The sequence below is a fragment of the Homo sapiens genome, chromosome 8 (genome assembly GCF_000001405.40).
Source record: "Homo sapiens chromosome 8, GRCh38.p14 Primary Assembly".
NCBI lineage: Eukaryota > Metazoa > Chordata > Mammalia > Primates > Hominidae > Homo > Homo sapiens.
In genome coordinates, this window is record NC_000008.11 from 55785451 (window position 1) to 55808773 (window position 23323).

The 23323-nt window shown below is 39.1% G+C and overlaps 1 protein-coding gene across 5 annotated transcripts in view; it reads left to right on the forward strand.

The window, feature by feature from the left end:
• TGS1 (trimethylguanosine synthase 1) overlaps positions 1-23323 on the forward strand; it is a 53000-nt gene that overhangs the window by 12005 nt on the left and 17672 nt on the right. For all 5 annotated transcript variants that reach the window (NM_024831.8, XM_006716485.3, XM_017014004.2 and 2 more), the window contains 8 exons: positions 269-441; positions 788-1610; positions 4732-4849; positions 7248-7334; positions 10528-10702; positions 13464-13770; positions 17007-17156; positions 19443-19586. In NM_024831.8, the coding sequence (NP_079107.6) occupies positions 269-441; positions 788-1610; positions 4732-4849; positions 7248-7334; positions 10528-10702; positions 13464-13770; positions 17007-17156; positions 19443-19586 (1977 nt within the window). The remainder of the gene's footprint in view (positions 1-268; positions 442-787; positions 1611-4731; positions 4850-7247; positions 7335-10527; positions 10703-13463; positions 13771-17006; positions 17157-19442; positions 19587-23323) is intronic.

The following is a 23323-nucleotide window of genomic DNA, read 5'->3' on the forward strand; positions in this document are numbered from 1 at the left end:
GCTGCTTGTGAGGCTGAGGCAAGAGGACTGACTGAGCCCGGGAGTTCAGAGCTTTTTAGTGCATTATGATCACACCTGCAGATAGCCCTTATACTCCAACCTGGGCAGTGTTGTGAGACCCCCATCTCTAAAAAATAAAAAAAATTGTAACATTTGCATACCTTTATTTTGGGCGGGTCACTCTGGATCTCAGGTTTTTTTAAATGAGAATAAGAAAACCTGCCTCTTAAGTTTTCCTTAAAACTAAGCTAATAAATGGTGTCTATAGGAGACCAGGCGACAGAAGAAGAGGAAGGTGGTTATTCCTGTGGTACTGCAGAATCACATGACAGCAAAGGCATAGGCCTGGATGAAAGTGAACTTGATTCTGAGGCTGAACTCATGAGAAGTATGGGATTGCCACTTCAATTTGGTAGGATAACTGCACATAAGGATTTTGAGGTAAATATTAATTTACTTTTATTATTTCTCTCTCTTCGTTTTCTTTATAAAATATCGCAAGGAATTACTTTTTATCAGATTATATGCATTCACGATCAGCGCTCTCTACCTCTTTTTAAATGTATGTATTTATAAATTAACCAGAACTGAAAGTTGTAATATGTCCCAAGTGTGACTGTTCCTCCTCTTGGAAACTTAGATAGTATATCACTTGTTTGTGGAGCTAAAAGCCCATAGTGGGGCTTTAGAGTATTTTGTTTAATTTAATGTCAAAATAGACTTGGATTCTACTTTCTTTTATAGTTCATAAAGTGCATTTTATATTCAAGTTATTTATCTGATATAGGTATCTATGAATACTAGAAATAAAGTTAAAATAAAAAAGAAAAAACATCAAAAGAAATACTTAGATGAAATTGTGCAAGAATCTTGGAGAAAAGAATATGAAGAAGACGACATTTTGGCTTCAGATGATCCATCTTCAATTGAACAGTATGAGAACACCAGAACATATGAACTTCAAAGCAAAAAAGATACTGAGACAGAAAATCCTCCAGTTGAAAACACATTATCTCCAAAGCTAGAAATTACAGAGAAATGGGAAAAGTATTGGAATGAATATGGAGGAGGACTATTGTGGCAAAGTTGGCAAGAAAAACATCCGGGTCAAGCACTATCTTCTGAACCTTGGAACTTTCCTGATACAAAGGAAGAATGGGAGCAACATTATAGTCAACTTTATTGGTATTATTTGGAACAATTTCAGTATTGGGAAGCTCAGGGTTGGACTTTTGATGCCTCGCAAAGCTGTGATACAGATACTTACACATCTAAAACAGAAGCTGATGACAAGAACGATGAAAAATGCATGAAAGTTGACTTAGTATCTTTTCCATCTTCACCTATTATGGTTGATAATGATAGCTCTGGTACAAGTGATAAGGATCATAGTGAAATACTTGATGGAATTAGTAACATAAAACTGAATTCAGAGGAAGTAACACAGAGCCAATTAGATTCCTGTACAAGTCATGATGGTCATCAACAGCTAAGTGAAGTTAGTAGCAAAAGAGAGTGCCCTGCTTCCGGCCAAAGTGAACCACGTAATGGAGGAACCAATGAGGAAAGCAACTCATCGGGGAATACAAACACAGACCCACCAGCTGAGGGTAAGATTAACCAAGATTTATTCTGCCATGTAATGGTTAGCAAAATGAATTCATTTAGCAAAATAACTACTAATCCTTTATTGTAGAGTTAAATAATACCAAGTACATTTCATATAATAATGAAATGATTTAATCCATCCTGTTTTCATATCACAAGTTATCCTTTTCTATTAATAAGAATATTTGCATGCAGTTCTCAAAAGTATCATTCCTTCTCTTGTACTTTGGTGGCTAATGAAGGAAAATGTGGAATCTCTTGAGAAATCTAATATAAAGTGAGCTTGGAACTTTTAGTTTTCCACAGCAAATGAATTTATAAGAGGCATGTTAGAAAGCAATTGAGAATGTACATTTGACATTAGGCAAATGTCTTATGAGTCATATGTGGAATTCACTTAGGACAAGTGAAGTCTTGCTGTGAAAAAAAGATCTCAATGGGGCACAATATTAATTTATAACTGGAATGGTTAATTTCAGGATTCTCATCAATAAAATATCCAGGATAAGGAACTTGATTGATTCCTGAATAACTGATCCAAAAAAAGCTAATTGTGCAAACTGGTGCCACTCAGGACTAGAGAATGCCAATGAGAAGTGTTTTGAAAGGAGTTAATCTGAGTACGGTGCGATGAGAATGTTTACTTTGCATTGCTGTAAAGGAATACCTGAGACTGAGGAATGTTTAAAGAAAAGAGGTTTATTTTGGCTCACAGTTTTGCAGGCTGTACAGGAAGCATAGTCTCAGCATCAACTCCTGGTGAGGGCCTCAGGAACCTTCCAATTATGGCAGAAGGTGAAAGGGGCATAGGCATGCCACATGGCAAGAGAGAGAGCAAGAGAGAGGGGGGAGGTCCCAGGCTCTTGTTAGCAATCAGATATTGCAGTAACTCATTACCATGGGGAGGCACCAAGCCATTCATGAAGGATCTGCCCCATGACCCAAACACTTCCCACCAGACCCCACTTCCAACATTAGGGATCACATTTAAACATGAGGTTTAGAGGGGACAAACATCCAAACCCTATCAGTGCTCTTGCTGGGGAGAGGCTTCTGCCAATTAACAGCACCAGGAAAATGGGAGAGGAGGAAATTTCTGTGACATCTGCATATCCTGAAGTTTTGGCATCCTGATGTTACATGCTGAAGACATCTAGTGTAGAGGAACTTTCTTCTCAGCCTTACTCTTTTGTGAAACAAATGGTTTTGACCTTTTACTTAACAATCAGATTTGCTTTGCTTATCTCAGATTGCTGATAATACTTCATCCAGCTGACAGTTTCTAAAGAGCTCTGTCAACTTGCTTTTTTTCTCTATATTCTTAGATTCTTATAAGTGGAGCCTACCTCAGTATAATATTCTCATTCCTTTCTATTTTGGTGATACATTTTCATCCTTTTTTTTTTTTTTTTTTTGAGATGGAGTCTCACTCTGTCACCCAAGCTGGAGTGCAGTGGCACTATCTCAGCTCACTGCAAGGTCCGCCTCCGGGGCTCAAGCAATTCTCCAGCCTCAGCCTCCCGAGTAGCTGGGACTACAGGTGTGTGCCACCACATACAGTTAATTTTTTTATTTTTTTATTTTTAGTAGATACGGGGTTTCACCGTGTTGGCCAGGCTGGTTTCAAACTCCTGACCTCAAGTGATCCTCCCGCCTCAGCCTCCCAAAGTGCATAGGCGTGAGCCACCATGCACAGCCATCCTTTTTTATCTGAAGATTTTATATTAGTATTCTGATACTCTTCTATACTCTCCTGATACCTTTCTGTACATATTTTGACCATAAAGTTTATAATATACATATTGGGCATTGTTTTGGCCTCTGACTTACAGTCTCATTTACCCTCTTTGGTTCTCCTCCCTCATCTGCCTGCTTTTTTCTTTGGCAGACACAGTAAGTCTCACAGTCTCTGCCTTCTGTTGCTTGTTCCCTTACTTACGTTTATAGATTGTCCATTTCTGTAATAACTCCAGTTTGTCTGCCATCAGGATGAATTTGAGGGTTTTAGATTTTGATTTGTTTTAGATCCTCCCTTGAGTTCAAAATTTAAGGTATAGGTTATGCTTCTATGTAAGTATGTTTTCTACTCTTTGTGGTTGGTGCTTTTCTGAAAGAGTCAAAGCTTCCCACTGTCTACCCTGCAGACATCTTTTTCCTCCTGGTCTCAGCCACCCACTTTCTTCCAGTCTGACAAAATAGAGAACAAAGACAGATTTGTGCCTCAGTTTTTGTCACCATAAGTTAAAGAACTCTTCTTAAAGATAGTATTGTCTTTGTTACTCTCATTATTAATGTTACTTTCATACTATATTAAAGGCAAATGAAGAGAAATTCTTCTTAATCAATGTGATTATGCCCCCTTTACGGTCATTTCAATTAAAATTCCATAAGAATGTGACTGCTAACAGCTATCACAAAGGCAGCTTTGTGGGTTAATTTGTATAGATTTGGGCAGCTATGAAGAAGTAGTTTTAGTTTGTTGTGTTTTTTTTTAAGTAGTTAGATCATGAACATTTTTAAACCTGTTAAAAAACTTTATACAAATTAAATTTAATAGAGTTTAACTGAGCAAAGAACGATTCTCGAATCAGGCAGCCCCAAGAGCCAGAATAGGTTCAGAGCAACTCCAGGGCTGCCACATGATTGGGATAACATTTATGGACAGAAAAAGAAAAATGATGTACAACGTACAGAAGGTGGAAGTGAGGTACACAAACAGCTGGATTGGTTACAGCCCAGCTTTTGCCTTACTTGAACACCATTTGAATAGTTGGCTGCCTGTGATTAGCCAAAACTGTGCTTGATACAAGAGTAGGTTACAGTCTTTTTATACCACCAGTTAGGTTACAGTTCACTACATGTGGAAAAACCTTTAAGCTGAGCTTAAAATGTATACATGGACAGTTTTAGGCTAAATTTAATTTAACAAACCTTATAGTTAAGATTTTTAAAATGCTCAGACTCTGCATGTAGACACAAACAGGTAGATGTGAGCTGGCACTTTGATGCACATGTACAGTTCATTGTAGAAAAGGTGCTAAAATATTTTCATTGGCTTTGCAAATAGCAGAAAAGTTGTCAAACCAAGGGGGAAAAGCTACTGCAATATTTCTGCCTCTTTAGATTCACAGAAGTCTTCAGGAGCAAACACAAGCAAAGACAGACCACATGCCAGTGGTACTGATGGAGATGAAAGTGAGGAAGACCCACCTGAGCATAAGCCAAGCAAACTGAAGAGGAGGTAAGTTACATGAGACCCCTCTCACCAGAGCGTGTTAGAGTAAGCATTTGTATGCATAAGCCAGTGGTTATTAAATGATTGTTATGTTCACAACACCAGTAATCATGTAAGAAGAGGCAGGATCTACTGGTAAGATTCTGAGCCTTTGGACCTGGACCTGTGGTTAAGGCCGAACTCTGCCACTCACAAACTCTAAGTACATTTCTTTTTTTTTTTTTTTAAGACATGGTCTCGCTTTATTGCTCAGGCTGGAGTACATGGTATGATCATAGCTCACTATGATCTTGAACTCCTCAGCTCAATTGAACTTGAACTCCTCAGCTCAATTGATCCTTCTGCCTTGAGTAGCTGGGACTACAGGCATGTGCCACCACTCCTGGTTAATTTTTTAAAATTTTTTATAGAGACAGGGTCTCGCTATGTTGCCCAGGCTGATCTCAAACTTCTGGCCTCAAGCGATCCACTTGCCTTGGCCTTCCAAAGCACTGGGATTACAGGTGTGAGCCACCACACCCGGCCTAAGTACATTTCTTAATTTCTCATCTATAAGATTGGACTGATGCCTTTTTTGTGATTATTGGGTAGACAGGAGCTAGCATGTAATATATCTGACACTTAGTAGCTATCAATGGATCATAACTTTTAACTAATAATTAAATTCATATCTTCTCTCTCTCTCTCTCTCTCTCACCAGTTCTAATGTTTTTCAAAAGTCTGGATATATTTTATCCCAGATTTGTATTGCTGAAAAAGACCTCAAGGTCATGCTCTCATTGTATAGATAGGAACACTGAGGCAAACAGGAATGAGTACCTTGCTCAGTTTTCTTCACAGCAATGGCAGCTCTAAAGCCAGAGCCCAGATCAACTCTACTCGAAGCAGTGCAATTTCTGTTTACCACTGTGAAAGTTGTAAGAGTCAAAACAGAGTCACTTGTGTCAGACACTGGTAAAATGTAGCCAGGGAAGGCCATGAAAGACTCTCATGCACTATTTGCTTGATAACAGGAACTGTCACAAGAAATTTTTCCAAGCCAAAGCATCACACAAAGACAGATAGCTGCTTATACAGGAACATGTGCCTGACACAGTCTCACAAGCCCAATTCGAAACTGCAGAGGCCTAACCATAACTCTCAGTTTACAAGTTTATCTCTGCCCAGAAGTGGCAGTGGTTGTGCCACTCCTGAAGCAGTCCTTTGTTGTAATTTGTAAGTTATTCCTGAATTTGTAGCCTTCAGTCTTCCACCTAACAACCACTGGCTCTCCTAATCAAAACTCACCAGCTGTTTGTTGTAAGATGCTGCCAGCACCAGTGAACTAACTTTCTAAACAACGTGCGTGACCTCTCTCCTCAGTGAAACTCTAACCTTTTCCTCTCTTCTTTGGACATTTCATGAGGCCACCTCATTCTGTGCTTATGTCCCAAACTGCAGTTCTGTTTTTGTGTTTTATAACCAAATAAAAGTTCTTTTTTTTGGTATTCATCTCTACATTTTTTTCTTGAAGGTTTATACACTTGTACACATAATTAAACACGTAGAGAATAATGTAAGGTGGGATGTAGTCAGATGCTAACACTGTAAGTAACAAGGAAAGAATGGATCGTTACTGAACTTGGAAGTTAGCTGGACACTTCATTTCTTTGACTGGATATGGGGTGCTCCACGTAAGACACTTGTACTCCATATAGCTTCTGGAAAAACAAGCGTGCCTCTACTGTGCTACCTCTGTATGGTAGACATTGCTTGTTAACTCCCCAGTTCCTGCTAGTTACTGGAGGCAAAGATCATGTGTGTTCAATGAGCGTAACTTATTTTGAAGGACAAACTTTGTAAGAATTATTTCTCACCATTTTCCTTTACTTGGAATTACGGCCAGGGATGGTCACTGGTTACTAAAAGATCTCTAGTAGGTGGATTCTCCTGGGTTACCTAATATCACTTGTATCACAACCTTATTCTTTTTAGTAATTTTTTTCTTTTAAAATTTTTTTGGATTGTATTGATACTTATCAAACGTTTCCTTGTTTGTTTTTAAGGGAAACCTCTGGAGAAATCACTTTAGGAGATTAATTTAAGGCTGCAGCTTTTACTGATGTTTTTCCAAAGGAAAATTGAGAGATTATATTTGTACCATACCTAGGAATAGAAATCATTACTTGACATGAATTAAGACTGGAATACTTATTGCTGTGTTCCAAATGCTCCTGGGTACTTACCTTATTTGGAAAATTCTAATTAAAGTATTTTTTTTCCTGGTTTCCTGGATTTGTGAACTATGGTTGACTATGGTGTTGGGAAGTTTGCATGGGTCAATTATATTGCCTTTTTTATATTTATCTGAACTAGTGGGCTCTGGTGGTAATGGCTTATCACTGTTTACCTTTTCTTTATTTAGCCATGAACTGGACATTGATGAAAACCCAGCTTCAGACTTTGATGACAGTGGTTCCCTTCTAGGATTCAAGTATGGCTCAGGACAAAAGTAATTATTCATAAAAGCTATTGTTTTCCAGAAGTCCTAACCACTTCAACTATCTTAGAGCACTCTGATACTCAGATAACTAATAAATGATCATGTGTTGAGATGTTATCATTAAATCACTTCTTGTTAGAATTGTGGTAGAGATATCCCTGTACATTTGATGTGTTCATATGCTTTAACTCAGTTGCACTTTATAGCAATCCAGTGTTGTTATTCCATTTCATAGATAAAGCAACTGCAGCTCACAGAGGCTTTGACTTTACTGGAGAGGGAATTTAGGCCCAGCTCTTGTGACTTCTAAGCATGGTTCTCTTCTCACCTAGTGTCTCACATGTGTACATCTGAAGACCATAGCAAACATGCCATGAAACGTTGAAATCTGCAATAACCTCTTTTTCTATTATGAAAGAGTAAAATTAAAACAAACCAAATAACAAGTAAAAAGTAAAAAATATTTTCTTCCAGTCGTTCTCAAATGTAGGCAGTGTTTTAAAGAGTTTGGCACTTTGAGAGGCTGGGCAATATAGGGAGACCCCATCTCTACAACACATTTAAAAATTAGCTGGGTTTAGTGGTGCATGCTTGTGTTTCCAGCTCCTCAGGAGGCTGAGATGGGAGGATCACTTCAGCCCGGGAGGTTGAGGGTGCTGTGATCCATGATAATGTCACTGCACTCCAGCCTGGGTAACAGAGTGAGACTCTCAAAAAAAAGAGTTTGGCATACGTCCCTCCAAATTTACTGTTGTGTGCTATGACTACATACATGTACACACATTTTTTGTTTGTTTTGTTTTGTTTTTTGAGACAGAGTCTCACTCTGTCACCCAGGTTGCAGCACAGTGGTGCGATCTCGGCCCACTGCGACATCCGCCTCCTGGGTTCAAGTGATTCTCCTGCCTCAGCCCCCCAAGTAGCTGGGACTACAGGCATGCACCACCATGCCCTGCTAATTTATTTATTTATTTATTTATTTATTTATTTATTTATTTATTTTTTAATTTTTTATTTTTTTTAGTAGAGACAGGGTTGCACCATATTGGCCAGGCTGGTCTCAAACTCCTGACCTCAGGTGATCCGCCCACCTTGGCCTCCCAAAGTGCTGGGATTACAGGCGTGAGCCACCGCGCCTCACCACGTACACACATTTTGCTTCTCTTTGTGTAAAACAGAAAAATTAGGTCATATTATACATACTCTCCAGTTTGCTTTTCTCCCTCAACAATGTACCATAGACACTCTTTCTTGTTGGTAGAAACATTTAGCTAATTCTGTAAATGAGGGCATTGTGTTTTATCAGTTATCCTAATTAACAACATCTAAATTGTTTCCTAAGATCTAAGCATAATGCCCTAGAAGGTCCCTCCAGATTATTACATGTGCCTGCCTGCCTTCCTTCCTTAGGGTCTCGCTCTGTAACACAGGCAGGAGTGCAGTGCTGTTTTAAGTTTTTTCATGGAGATGGGGTCTTGCTATGTTACCCAGGCTGGTCTTAAACTCTTGGCCTCAAGTGATCCTCCCATCTCAGCCTCCTAGAGTGCAGGGATTGCAGGCATGAGCCACCACGCCCAGTCCATTTATTCCTTCTTATTGCTGAATAGAATTCCAATGTATGGATGTACCAAAATTTGCTCAACCATGCAACAATTGAAGGGCATTTGGATTATTTGTGGCATTTTGCTGTTACAAATAAAGCAACAGTGCAGGTGCAGTGGCTCACACCTGTAATCCCAGCACTTTGGGAAGCTGAGGTAAGAAGATTGCCTGAAGCCAGAGGTTGAGACTAGCCTGGGTAACATAGCAAGGCAGAAAATAAAAAAATAAAATGAAATTTCAAAAGTAAACAAAGCTGCTGTGAACATTTGTGTATAAAAGACATAAGATTTCTCTGGGATTAAATGCCCAAGCATTAAATATAAAGGAACATGGGTAGTTGTGTTAGAACAACTAGAGATTTTATCGTACATGACATGAAGACTAAACTGAGTAGGTAAAGCCTGCTAAAGACAGCTTACACCAGTAATCTAAACCATGACTGGGTTCTTTGATGTTTCTAAGGGTTGAGATTTCAGGTCCTACTTATCTGTTTCATAAGTTGTGAAATTTAAGTAGATACCTACACATTATGAAATCAGCAAGAAAGGGACACGAGGAATGTCTCAAAATTGAATTGAATTCAAATTAGTTCAGAAGTACATGTTGACTCTTGTAGTTTCTAAAGATTATCAGTTTTTCTCCCTTAGGTGTTTCAAGGCAATTATAGTTAATATAATCAATAGTTCATATAATCATTTAAGGCTAAGATCATAAAGTTTAGCATGTAAAAAGGTTTTTAAATTCCTGGCAGGATGTATTACTATGCACATGTAATTTTATTGAGGAATCCTTGGGTAGATTTTGATAGTATACACTTGTAGAAATCTATTTCTTTTCTTGCCTGAGACTTAACTACTTAACTACTCTTCTATTTAGAGCACCCAATTCTACTTAAAAGAGAAGGATAAAATATCCTGTTTATTAAAAGAAGTTTATAATATGGCTACAAAGTGAGACCTGATATTTAAACCCAGACTATTCTGGATTTTATAAATGCTAAAGTGTACGTGACACTCTTAAGTCCCTAACAGTTTGTCGGAGAGGGAGTTAATTGAGGCTTAATATAATCAAAGGAGGCTTCATAGCAGATACATATCTTTTAGGACTGGAAAATTTCAGATGGTTAAATCAGGCATTCTCTAATTATTTTGATACGAAGGGTTCGCTTCTTTTGTAAGCTCAGATTGATTTAGATAATTCAAATGTATCCAGAAATGTGTTAAAGAGCTTTGACATCACCCCACCTTGAAAATATTTATATATTTATATTTCCCTAACAAGGGGATAGGGTTTTCGTTTGTTTGTTTGTTTGTTTTACTATTTATTTATTGCAGTCTACTATGTAATTTCTACTTTCTCCTCTATATTAGGTATGTTGCACTTCCCAACTTTGGTGTTACACATTTGCTTTAGAATTAACATGAAAGTTAGACCATCAACTCTTCTGCAAGTTGAACTTGATTTTATCATTTTCATAATTTTAAAAAGGGAATTAAAATGGTGTAAAAATGAGTGAAAATGTTAGTTTCATCCTCTTTTCCTATAAGGAAATATAATCCTAGAATTTAAGTTGTGAATAACTTCTTTTGATCTGTCACAGATATGGTGGAATCCCAAATTTCAGTCATCGGCAGGTCAGGTATTTAGAGAAGAATGTGAAGCTTAAGTCTAAGTACCTAGACATGCGCAGACAAATAAAGATGAAAAACAAACACATCTTCTTTACCAAAGAGTCAGAAAAACCATTTTTCAAGAAAAGCAAAATTCTGAGTAAGGTATGTATAAATTTTGTTGCATATTTGTAGATAGAATCATGTTTTGTAAGTTTGACCTCTTAAAATTGTTGTATTCAAATAGGAAGCTTGTTTCTACCAGGTATCAAGGTACATAATTTTTTTTTTTTTTACTTGCTTCTTGAAGGCATATATTATGTAAACTAAATCTGAAAAAAGGCAAGTTGAGGTAGGGTGAAAAGGAAGTGTTTGAAAGCTACAAAGTACTAGTGTCTGAGATTATTTAAAAAACGCAGCCGTCAGGCGTGGTGGCTCACACCTGTAATCCCAGCAATTTGGGAGGCTGAGGCAGGTGGATCACCTGAGGTCGGGAGTACCAGACAAACCTGACCAACATGGAAAACCCTGTCTCTACTAAAAATACAAAATTAGCTGAGCATGGTGGCGCTTGCCTGAAATCCCAGCTACTTGGGAAGCTGAGGCAGGAGAATCGCCTGAACCCGGGAGGCGAAGGTTGCAGTGAGCCGAGATCGCGCCTTTTCACTTCAACTTGGGCAACAAGAGCAAAACTCCATCTCAAAAAAAAACACGCAACCTTGGCCGGGCATGGTGGCTTACACCTGTAATCCCAGCACTTAGGGAGGCTGAGGCGGATGGATCACCTGAGGTCAGGAGTTCGAGACCAGCCTGGCCAACATGGTGAAACCCCATCTCTACTAAAAATATAAAAATTAGCCAGGCATGATGGCGGGTGCCTGTAATCCCAGCTACTCGGGAGGCTGAGGCAGGAGAATTGCTTGAAATTTGGGAGTGGAGGTTGCAGTGAGCTGAGATTGTGCCATTGCACTCTAGGCTGGGAGACAGAGTAAGACTGTCTCAAAAAAAAAACACAACCTTGCCTATGTAGTAACAGACAAGAACAAGGAACAATTTCTCATCTGTTTTAGGCTAGGTAGGTGTATTAGTCTGTTTTCGGGCTGCTAATAAAGACATACCCAAGACTGGATAATTTTTGAAGGAAAGAGGTTTAATTGACTCACAGTTCTGCAGGGCTGGGGAGGCCTCAGAAAACTTAAAATTATGGTGGAAAGGGAAGCAAACAACTCCTTCTTCACATGGCAGCTAGAGAGAGAAATGAGTGCCCAGCAAAGGGGGAAGCACCTTATAAAACCATCAGATCTCATAAGAACTAACTCACCATCACAAGAAGAGAGTGGGAGAAACTGCCCCCATGATTCAACTATCTTTACCTGATTCCTCCCACAACACGTGGGGATTATGGGAACTATGATTCAAGATAAGATTTGGGTGGGGACACAGCCAAACCATACCAGTAGGATCCTAATAGTCCAAATTCTGATACAGCTTTATATTATAAGCTTTAATTCTGAGTTCTTCCAGAAGTGATCAGTCACAGTTTACACCTTGTAACAAGTTCACCCTGATAGCATGAAACACAGGCCAATTTATTGATTCACATTATTACCTGAAATATTCATATATTGGACTTTGCTATACCTGCCATCCAAGTACCTGGGAAACAAAAGTAGTTAGAAAATTGCTTGGTGTGATGAATTACCTTTCTATATTCTAAGGGGTAAAAAACACTTTCTAATGAGCAGAACCTTCATGTCAATCACATCTCCAGCAGCTCTTCAGGACAGTAGACCATAATCTTAGACTCCATGATGTCTCTGTCTCTGTTGTTCGTTTTTTAAGGCTAGTCAGATGACTCTTTTTCCCCTCAATACAGTGTCCTCCCTAACTTCAGCATACTTGTAAAATATGCTACATATATATAGCTGGTTTTATTTTGTATTACATTTCAGGTTGGTTGGCTGCTGGTGATGTTTTAATAAATATGTTCGTGGTGCTAGTTATATCTGAAACAGACTGCCTAGTATTAGTCCAGTCAGTGCCATAGGACTTTCCGTAATGTGTTGGATATAATAGCCCCTATGCATTCATCTATAGATGAGTGCAGAAACAGCTACTAAGCATTGCTGAGGAAAAAAGATATGTAACTGTTGTGTCTAACTTAGATACCTAATTTATTTATAGGCACATTTCTTTAGAGGAAGATTCTGGGTTGTTGCCCATCATGTCTACCACTTCATTCTAATTTACTCACTCTCAGGAAGGTCATGAAGACAAGATAGGAAGAATATTCTTGTTACAGAAGATGCAAAGAAGTATATGATCTGATGCTGAGCCTTGTTTACATTCCAAAGAACAAACATTTGCTGGGACATATCTTACTGGCTCTACTGTTGCATTAAAAGGCAACTTTGATTTTTTTCCAAGGTAGACTGCTTCTATTCTTACAGAAGAATTGGCCCTAAATCTTTTTAGGGTTCGTCTTTGATGCTAAGTAACATTTACATAGATTGTAGCTTGACCATTGCAGAAAGGTCTATATAATTTGAAAAACTAAAATTAATGATTCAGTAGTAAGTAGGTACATTTGTAATGTAGCTGTAGCACAGTTAAATTGTTAAGAACCCTTATGGAAAAGCCACTGGGACAGTTTGGCTTTATCCTCTTAGTATTTATTGATAGCAGGAAGTATTTAATCTGATATTTTTTTCCTTTTAAAGAAAACTTTTAATAAGGTCATGGCATGCCCAGATAGCATTCTGATTAGGTCAGAATTACTTACTATTAAGCTTGTGTGATGCAGTCTGCTTTTCAGAGCCAATAATTTTGACACAGCTTTTCAGTCAAGTCACAAATTGTAATAGGTAGGAAGATTCTGTGTAGTTTGGAATTAATTCCTGCTCATGATGTCATCTTAAAATTTAAGGTAGAAAAATTCCTCACATGGGTTAATAAACCAATGGATGAAGAAGCATCACAGGAATCATCTTCTCATGACAATGTGCACGACGCTTCCACAAGTAGTGATTCAGAGGAACAAGACATGTCTGTTAAAAAAGGTGATGACCTACTGGAGACTAATAATCCAGAACCTGAAAAGTGTCAGAGCGTATCTTCAGCTGGTGAACTTGAAACAGAAAACTATGAAAGAGACAGCTTGCTAGCAACTGTTCCAGATGAGCAGGATTGTGTTACTCAAGAAGTGCCAGACTCCCGCCAGGCAGAAACTGAAGGTAACACTAAATATGCTTCAACTTGCTAATGGATTTAGATAAAATTTTTTTTGTTAATATGTTTTTTCTTAGTTTTCACTTGTGAATCTTCTGTACCTAAGGAGTCACTGCTACTTATTTTTAAGTGAGAGAAGGCATATTAAGTGTACATGTTCTAACTGGCTATGACTTAGCACCCACAGCACTCCTCACTCTTGGCTGAGTGAACATGATCAAGTAGAAAAGGAAAGACTGTTGGGAGCATTGTGTCTGCAGACCACTGTCTGCAGTTCAACTTGGCCTCTGCTGGTACTCAGTTCCATGGGCTAAAGGTGACCATCCTTTGCCTTCTTCGTATGTGGTGTAGCTTTGGTTTACTTCTTCCTTTTTTTGTGTGAGACAGGGTCTCATTCTGTTGCCCAGGCTGGAGTGCAGTGGCACAATCACAGCTCACTACATCCTTGACCCCCAGGGTTCAAGCAGTCCTCCCACCTCAGCTTGAGTAGCTGGGACTACATGTGCATACCACCATGCCTGCTTAATTATTTAATTTTTTTTGTAGAGACACAGGGTCTCACTATATTGCTGAGGCTGGTTGCCAAAGGCTCAAGCAGTCCTCCCACCTTTGCCTCCCAAAGTGCTGGGATTACAGACATGAGCCACCATGCTCAGGCTGGTTTCCTTTTGGTGTGTTTTTGTGTGTTTGTGTGTGTGTGGTTGATGATGGTCATGTGTTTTTGATGGCACGTTAATATAAAAAGTATTCAGAGCAGTTGGCTCTAATGAATAAACTGAGTAACATTTTCAATTTATGCACTTTTGTATTCGAATTTTTATAGCAAAAGTTCTTATATAGTTTAATAATGGTATTATGAAACCATTATATTTATTGTGATCCTTCATCATATTTCTTTATTACTATGGAAAATAACTTATTTGAGTCTTGATTTTTTTTTTCTTAGTGCAAGTGTGGGTGTATGTGTATGTGTGATCTTTTTATCACATATTTCTTTACATTCTAAACAGCATACCTACAGTAGTTTACATTTATTTTATTATCAATGTTATAATAACCGATGTTCATATGACATTTGTAGGTTTGTGAAATGCTTTTATGTGTCTTATTCTCATTTAATCTGTAAGGTAGCCAGGGAAGTAGGTGGAATTATTTTCCATTCTGTAAATACAGAAAGTAAAGCTGAGAGAAATTTAAAAATTAGCCCAAGTAAGTGGCATAGCTAGGACTCATTACCAGCTTCTCCAATTGCTAAGTCCCATTTTCCTGCACTATCCCACTTCCATAAACACCAATTCTCATGATGCTGGTTATTTTTACCTGGGGTAGTACCACCTTCACAAGGGCATTTGGAAGATGCTGGTTGTTAGAATGACATTTGGAATTCTGGCATTTAGTACTCAGTTACTTAATGTTAGGTCATGTACAGGATGGTCTTGCACAACAAAGAATTATTCCACCCACAATGTCATTATACCCCCTGTTGACAAATAATCACCTTACTTTGCTATTGGTAACACTTGTTTGGGGATGGGGAGATCTGACCTTACTGAATCATGATGACACTTTTTACTATTTACAATGATCAGATGAACATATTAGGACATAGCCCTATCCTTGAGGACCATTTGAGTGTGTAATGGAGTCTTATTCTTTGTTAGCCATCACCTCTTGTTTTTATACTTAACTGTGAAAAAAGTCTCATCTTTCTATGTTGTTGCTTCTAATTTGCTGAAGACTGAAACCAAATAACCAAACTGATAAAAATTATTTAAGGAAAAAATCACTCTCTGAATGAATGAGATCCTTTTCCGTGGAATGGAGCTAGTGACCCTTGTTTCAGTTTCTCAGATGCCATGTGACTTCAATGTGGCTGACAGCTAGAGCCTAATCTAGTCCTTGATAGAAAGGAAATGTTTAGATTTCTATAATTCACCACATAAAGCAGTGTCTTGGCTAACAGAAGTAATAACTTTTATGTCTATAGCAGTATTTCTACATATGTCCTGTCACTGCTGTGAATTAAGTTAGTAAAACACCACTCACTAACTCATTCATTCATTCTTTATTTTTTAGACAGAGTCTTGCTCTGTTGCCCAGGCTGGAGTGCAATGGCGCATTCTCAGCTCACTGCAACCTCCGCCTCCCAGGTTCAAGCGATTCTTCTGCCTGAGCCTCCCGAGTAGCTGGGATTAGAGGCACCTGCCACCGTGCCCAGCTAATTTTTGTATTTTTTTTTAGTAGAGATGGGGTTTCACCATGTTGGTCAGGCTGATCTTGAACTCCTGACCTCAGTGATCCACCTGCCTCAGGCTCCCAAAGTGCTGGGATTATAGGCATGAACCACTGCGCCCAGCCCCATCGTTCTTTTTTTTTTTTTTTTTTTTTTTTGAGACAGAGTCTTGCTCTGTTGCCCAGGCTGGAGTGCAGTGGTGCAATCTCAGCTCACTGCAAGCTCCGCCTCCCGGGTTCACGCCATTCTTCTGTCTCAGCCTCCCAAGTAGCTGGGATTACAGGCACCTACCACCACGCCTAGCTGATTTTTGCATTTTTAGTAGAGATGGGATTTCACCATGTTGGTCAGGCTTGTCTTGAACTTCTGACCTGCCTCAGCCTCCCAAAGTGCTGGGATTACAGGTGTGAGCCACCTCGCTCAGCCCACTCATTCCTTTTATAGGAATTAATAATTGGAGTTTAGGCCAGGCACAGTGGCTCATGCCTGTAATCCCAGCACTTTGGGAGGCCAAGGCGGGTGGATCACAAGCTCGGGAGATCAAGACCATCCTGACTAACACGGTGAAACCCCGTCTCTACTAAAATACAAAAAAATTAGCCGGGCGTGGTGACGGGCGCCTGTAGTCCCAGCTACTCGGGAGGCTGAGGCAGGAGAATGGTGTGAACCCGGGAGGCGGAGCTTGCAGTGAGCCAAGATCGTGCCACTGCACTCCAGCATGGGTGACAGAGCCAGACTTCGTCTCTAAATAAATAAATAAATGAATGAATGAATGGAGCTTAAAGACCCTCGGTTACTTTCCCAAGCTTACAAAGCCAATAAGTAGCAAAATGCTGGTGGTGATTGAAGCCAGTGGCGTTTCCATCAGGCTCTCCTGTTTCTCTGGGCGTGTCATTATATACATGTTCTGCTTGTAATTATTTGATGTGGCTTCATTTTTAGATAAACTCACCTGTGATACTAATTTTTTTCTTAGTGAGCATCTATATTCTTTGTATTTTATTTTAGCTGAAGTGAAAAAGAAGAAGAACAAGAAGAAGAACAAAAAGGTGAATGGTCTGCCTCCTGAAATAGCTGCTGTTCCTGAGCTGGCAAAATACTGGGCCCAGAGGTACAGGCTCTTCTCCCGTTTTGATGATGGGATTAAGTTGGACAGAGGTAAAGTATATATGTATTTTTTAGCTTTATTTTGAAACCACTTCAAACTTAAAAAGAAAGTTATAAGAATAATACAGGGAATGTTCATATCCCCTTTACCCAGATTCAGCTATTTTCAACATTTTGCCCCGTTTACGTTCTCATTCTCTCTCCATATGTATGTGTGTGTATCTTTTTCTGATCAGTACTTAACACACATCATGCTCATACTTCTTAATACTTTAGTGTATATTTGCTAAGGACAAGTATATTTTTGTTTAAAATAGTGAATTATCAACTTAACATTGTTCCAATATTTTAATCTACAGTTTATACTCTAATTTCATTAATTGTCCTAATCTTGTCCTTTATCACGTTTTTTTTTTCCTTCCAGTATAGGATCATGTATCATTGCGTTTATTTTTCAAGTTCTTTAGTTGCCTTTAATGTGGAATGTTTCCTTAGCCTTTTTTGTCTTTCATGACTGACATTTTTCAAAGGATCAATGGCCATTTATTTTATAGGATGCCCTTCAATTTGGGGGGGTGTGTGTGTGTGTGTGTGTATTTTTAAAATTTCAGACTTGGGTTTAATCTGTATTTGTAGCACGTTAGGATAGATAGCAAAAGCAATTGATAAATTATTAAACAGAAAACCTGATGAAGAAATATCTAGTGCAGAAGGATACAATTTAATGAATTAACTTCGCAAATTTTGAATTCTTTCTCCAGCTTTCCTGCTGTGATCTGCAACAGCTTACTTAACTCAGTCTTGCAGACTGATGCTCGTTTTCATATTGGGGTTACCTAAATATTGGTTTTTATTAACTATCAAAATCAGAAGTTCTTGATCTATGATGGAATTTCAGGGGTTCTCTGACCCTTTTAAAACAATTTGCAAAATGCTGTGTATTGGAAAAAGTACGTAGGAATTTGTAAGGAGAAATAAGGCTGGAAAACACTTGCAATTCTATAAAAGTGTATATTCTTATTTTTCCAGTATTGAAGAGCCATTTAAAGTTTTGGTAAGGGGAGACAACAGGAAAATTAACGCACATTATTTTTATTTATTTATTTTTCTTTTCTTTTCTTTTTATTTTTTCTTTTCTTTTTTTTTTTATTTTTTTTAGACAGGGTCTCACTCTGTCACCCACGCTGGAGTACAGTGGCACAATCTTGGCTCAGCAACCTCCACCTCCCAGGCTAAAGCAATCCTTATGCCTCCGCCTCCTAAGTAGCTGGGATTACAAGCAAGCACTACCATGCTTGGCTAATGTTTTGTAGAGACAGGGTTTTGCCATGTTGCCCAGGCTGCTCTCAAACTCCTGTGCTCAAGTGATCCACCACGCCCAGCCCAGCACATCATTTTGTTCAGATAATTGTCTTTCTGAAAAATGTAAATTTTTTCTACTAGGAAAGAAGGAGGTCAGTATTCTCTTTACTCTAGAGTGGACACAGGACCTCATTTCTGACAATGATGAGGGCTCTGCTATTCCTCCTGTACTTCTGCAACCCTATGGCCTTTTGCCATCCAGTTCCTTGCTTTTTCCGACCCTTTAAAAGCATGCAGTTTTGGCCAGGCATGGTGGCTCATGCCTGTAATCCCAGCACTTTGGGAGGCTGAGGCAGGCAAATCACTTGAGGCCAGGAGTTCAAGACCAGCCTGGCTAACATGGCAAAACTCTGTCTCTCCTAAAAATACAAAAATTGGCTGGGCATGGTAGCGTGTGCCTGTAGTCCCAACTACTCAGGAGGCTGAAGCATGAGAATTGCTTGAACCCAGGAGGCGGAAGTTGCAATGAGCCAAGATCATGCCGTTGCACTCCAGCCTGGGCAACAGAGCAAGACACTGTCTCCAAAAAAAAATGGAGTTTTTTCTGGAGTGTCCAATACAAATCCAGGCTATTGCTTCAACCTTAGGAGTGAAATAATTGGGAAACTCAGCGGAGTGTGGGGGAGCTAGCCAATTAGAGCAGCTAGTTCTCTATTTTCCACAGGAGTCAGTAGTTAAAGCCTCAAAGAGAAACATCAAAATTGTAAATTCAGTTATTGGAAAGATGGAGGTATACAGTATTACAAAAGAATTAGGTTAAGAATTGAGGTCATCATTTCTGTGGAAATTGGGAATGGTACTGCTTTTTATAACAAGCTTTGAATTTTTTTCTTTAAAACTGGGTGATTTATAATTTTTTAAAAAGGGAAACTAAGCTTTTTAAAAGTATGTAAGATATAGTAATGTTTGCTATGTTTATGCTTGCCTTGGCTTCTTGAAATTGAACATGCTAACACAAATACTCTTCCTTTGCAGAGGGCTGGTTTTCAGTTACACCCGAGAAGATTGCTGAACACATTGCTGGCCGTGTTAGTCAGTCCTTCAAGTGTGACGTTGTAGTAGACGCATTCTGTGGAGTTGGAGGAAATACCATTCAGTTTGCCTTAACAGGAATGAGAGGTAATTAGCCATCAATGGAAGTGAACTATTTTATGTCCAGTTAATTCAGTAAATGTTTCCATTTTGCTACAGCCTATCTTACTGAGATTTAATATATAATTAATAATTTAATATGAAATGATATAAAATAATAGCTAGCATATATTAAGCATATACTTTGTATTGCATACTGGTGTAAATGCTTCCTACAGTTGACCCTTGGACAATACAGGTTTGAACTGTATGAGTCCACTTACACCCAGATTTTTTTCAGTAAATATATTGGAAAATGTTCTGGAGATTTGTGACAAAAAAAAGAAACTCGCAGATGAATCCCTTGTAACCTAGATACATCGAAATAATTTAAAAGGTAGGAATGTCATGAATGCATGAAACATAGGTAGATACTAGTTTGTTTTATCATTTACTACCATAAAATATGCACAAATCTGTTATAAAAAGTTAAAATTTGAGTGGGCGTGGTGATTCATGCCCATAATTCTAGCAATTTGGGAGTTAGAGGCAGGAGGATCACTTGAGGCCAGGAGTTTGAGACCAACCTGGTCTCTAGAAAAAATTTTAAAAATTGGCCAGGCGTAGTGGCTTACCCCTGTAATCCCGGCACTTTGGTAGGCCAAGGTAGGCGGATCACCTGAGGTCAGGAGTTCGACACCAGCCTGGCCAACATGGTGAAACCCCGTCTACTAAAATTACAAAAATTAGCTGGGCATGGTGGCATGCATCTGTAATCCCAGCTACAGGAGGCTGAGGCAGGAGACTCGCTTGAACCTAGGAGGCAGAGGTTGCAGTGAGCCGAGATCATGCCACTGCACTCCAGCCTGGGCAACAGAGTGAGACTCCATCTTAAAAAAAAAAAAAAAAAAAAAAATTTAAAAATTAGCCAGGCGTGGTGGTGTGTGCCTATAGTCCCAGCTACTCAGGCTGAGATGAGAGGATGACCTGAGCCCAGAAATTGCAGGCTGCAGTGAGCTGTGATTGCACCACTGTGCTCTAGCTCGGGCAACAGAGTGAGACCTAGGCTCTTAAAAAAATTTGTAGGCCGGGCACGGTGGCTCATGCCTGTAATCCCAGCACTTTAGGAGGCCGAGGCAGGCTGATCACCTGAGGTGGGGAGTTCAAGACCAGCCTGACCAACATGGAGAGACCCCGTCTCTCCTAAAAATACAAAAATTAGCCGGGCATGGTAGCGTGTGCCTGTAGTCCCAGCTACTCAGGAGGCTGAGACAAGAGAATCGCATGAACCCGGGAGGTGGAGGTTGCAGTGAGCCGAGATCATGCCAGCTGCATTCCAGCCTGGGCAACAGAGCGAGACTCCACCTCAAAAAAAAAAAAAAAAAAAAAGACAAAAGAAAAAAAAAAACCTACCTTATCAATAAATATAGTACTGTAAATGTAGTTTCCTTATGATTTACTTAGTAACAATTTTTTCTCTGTTTCTTTATTTTAGTAATACTACATATAATACATACAATGTACAAAATATGTGTTAATTAACTGTTTACATTATAGGTGAGGCTTCAGGTCAACAGTAGGCTATTAAAAGTTAAGTTTGGGGAGTCCAAAATTATACAGATTTTTGACTTCACAAGAGATCAGGGCTCCTAATGTCTGTCTTAAGGGCCAACTATATGTATTAATTTATGTAATCAACAATCTTGTGAATTATGTCTTACTGTCTGTGTTTCACAGATAAACTGAGACATAAAGAGATGAAATAACTTGCCCAAGATTATACTGGCACACCTAATAACTTGAAGCCAAGGTCATAGTATTTTATAAAACCAAAAATACCAAAACAGGAGAGTATTGAACAGTGGACAGGGACTTTGGCACTCACTATCTTTATGACTTTGGACATCATTTAACCTTTATTTATTTATTTATTTAATTTTTTTTTTTCTTTTTTTTTGAGACGGGGTCTCACTCTGTCGCCCAGGCTGGAGTGCAGTGGCGCGGATCTCGGCTCACTGCAAACTCCGCCTCCCGAGTGCATGCCATTCTCCTGCCTCAGCCTCCCACGTAGCTGGGACTACAGGCGCCCACCACCACACCCAGCTAATTTTTTGTATTTTTAGTAGAAACAGGGTTTCACCATGTTAGCCAGGATGGTCTTGATCTCCTGACCTCATGATCCTCCCGCCTCAGCCTCGCAAAGTGCTGGGATTACAGGCGTGAGCCACCACGCCCGGCCATTTAACCTTAATTTAAAGGAGACCTTGAATTTAGATGACCTCTGTGACACCTTTCAAAAAGCTTTAAATTTCAGAGACTAAATATTATTTAAATATTACCTCATCGTCATATAATATTTGTTGCTTGACTTTGGGATCACAAGAAAGAAAACCCCTCCCACTGTGTAACTGCCAGTAACTGTGTCAAGTAGGTAATCTGCTTTTCCCCAGGGAAAGAAATGGGTTGAAGAAGTTGAACATTCTGCCCAAACTGATATAGCTGGGTCATAAAGCAGGGGTTTTTTTTTTTTTGCTTTTTTCTTGTTTGTTTTGTTTTTGAGACAGGGTCTCACTATATCACCCAGGCTAAAGTGTAGTGGCATGATCAGGACTAACTGCAGCCTTGACTTCCCGGGCTCAAGTGATCCTCCCATCTCAGCCTCCCAAGTAGCTGAGACTACAGGCACGTGCCAGTATGCCCTGCTAATTTTTTTTTTAATTTTTGTATAGACAGGATCTTGCTATATTCCCCAGGCTGGTCTTAAACCCCTGGCTTTAAGCAATCCTCCCCTTGGCCTCTAAAAGTGCTGGAATTACAGGCATGAGCCACCACACTGAGACAAGAAGCAGAGTTTTCATTTAGTTTTCATTCTGAAGATGCATATTTTTAAATATCTTCATATTATACCTATCAATGATAGTTTCATTTCAACAGATTTCTACTGAATCTTACTAATTTATATGAAGTTAATGTTAAGTAGGAAAGCGTAATATGATTTTGGAAAGCACGTAGTAGCTGTAGAAAAAACAGACTCAGTCCTTGCTCGGTCTAGTCAGAGAAACTGACTTTAATCAAATTGCACTGAAAATGATCTTATCGCCTTACCATTACATAGATTTTTAAGGTCAGTGCTGATGAAATGTGGCCCGTTTTAATACTCCTATGCTCCAAGGCATGATATTTGCTAACTTTACATGGTCTCCTGATAGCCTAGAGACAAGCTACTTTCATATTTACGAGAGTAGTGGTTATTTTCCTTTTTCCTTGAATTCACTATTTACTATCAAAGTTCTTCTCAGACTTTGCCAGATAAGCCATTCCTATGGGCTAAAATCAATATTTATTGCCTAAAAAATGATTTTTCCTTAAAAGTTGTAAAATGTATCTTCATTTTGGCCTTACATCGTAACACGATGATTAAAACACCTGCTCCCTGATAAAGTAGCAAAGAAATCTGAAAATTTTCTCAGATTACTCAAACCGTCTATATGTAGATATATAGTTCTTTCTTTTTCTTTTTTTCTTTTTTTTTTTTTTTGAGATGGAGTCTCACTCTGTCGCCCAGGTTGGAGTGCAGTGGCACATTCTCAGCTCACTACAACCTTCACCTCCTGGGTTCAAGTGATTCTTCTGCCTCAGCCTCCCATATAGCTGGGACTGCAGGGGCCTGCCACCACGCCCAGCTAATTTTTTTATTTTTAGTAGAGATGGGGTTTCACCATGTTGGCCAGGGTGGTCTCGAACTCCTGACCTCAGGTGATCCACCCAACCTCGGCCTCCCAAAG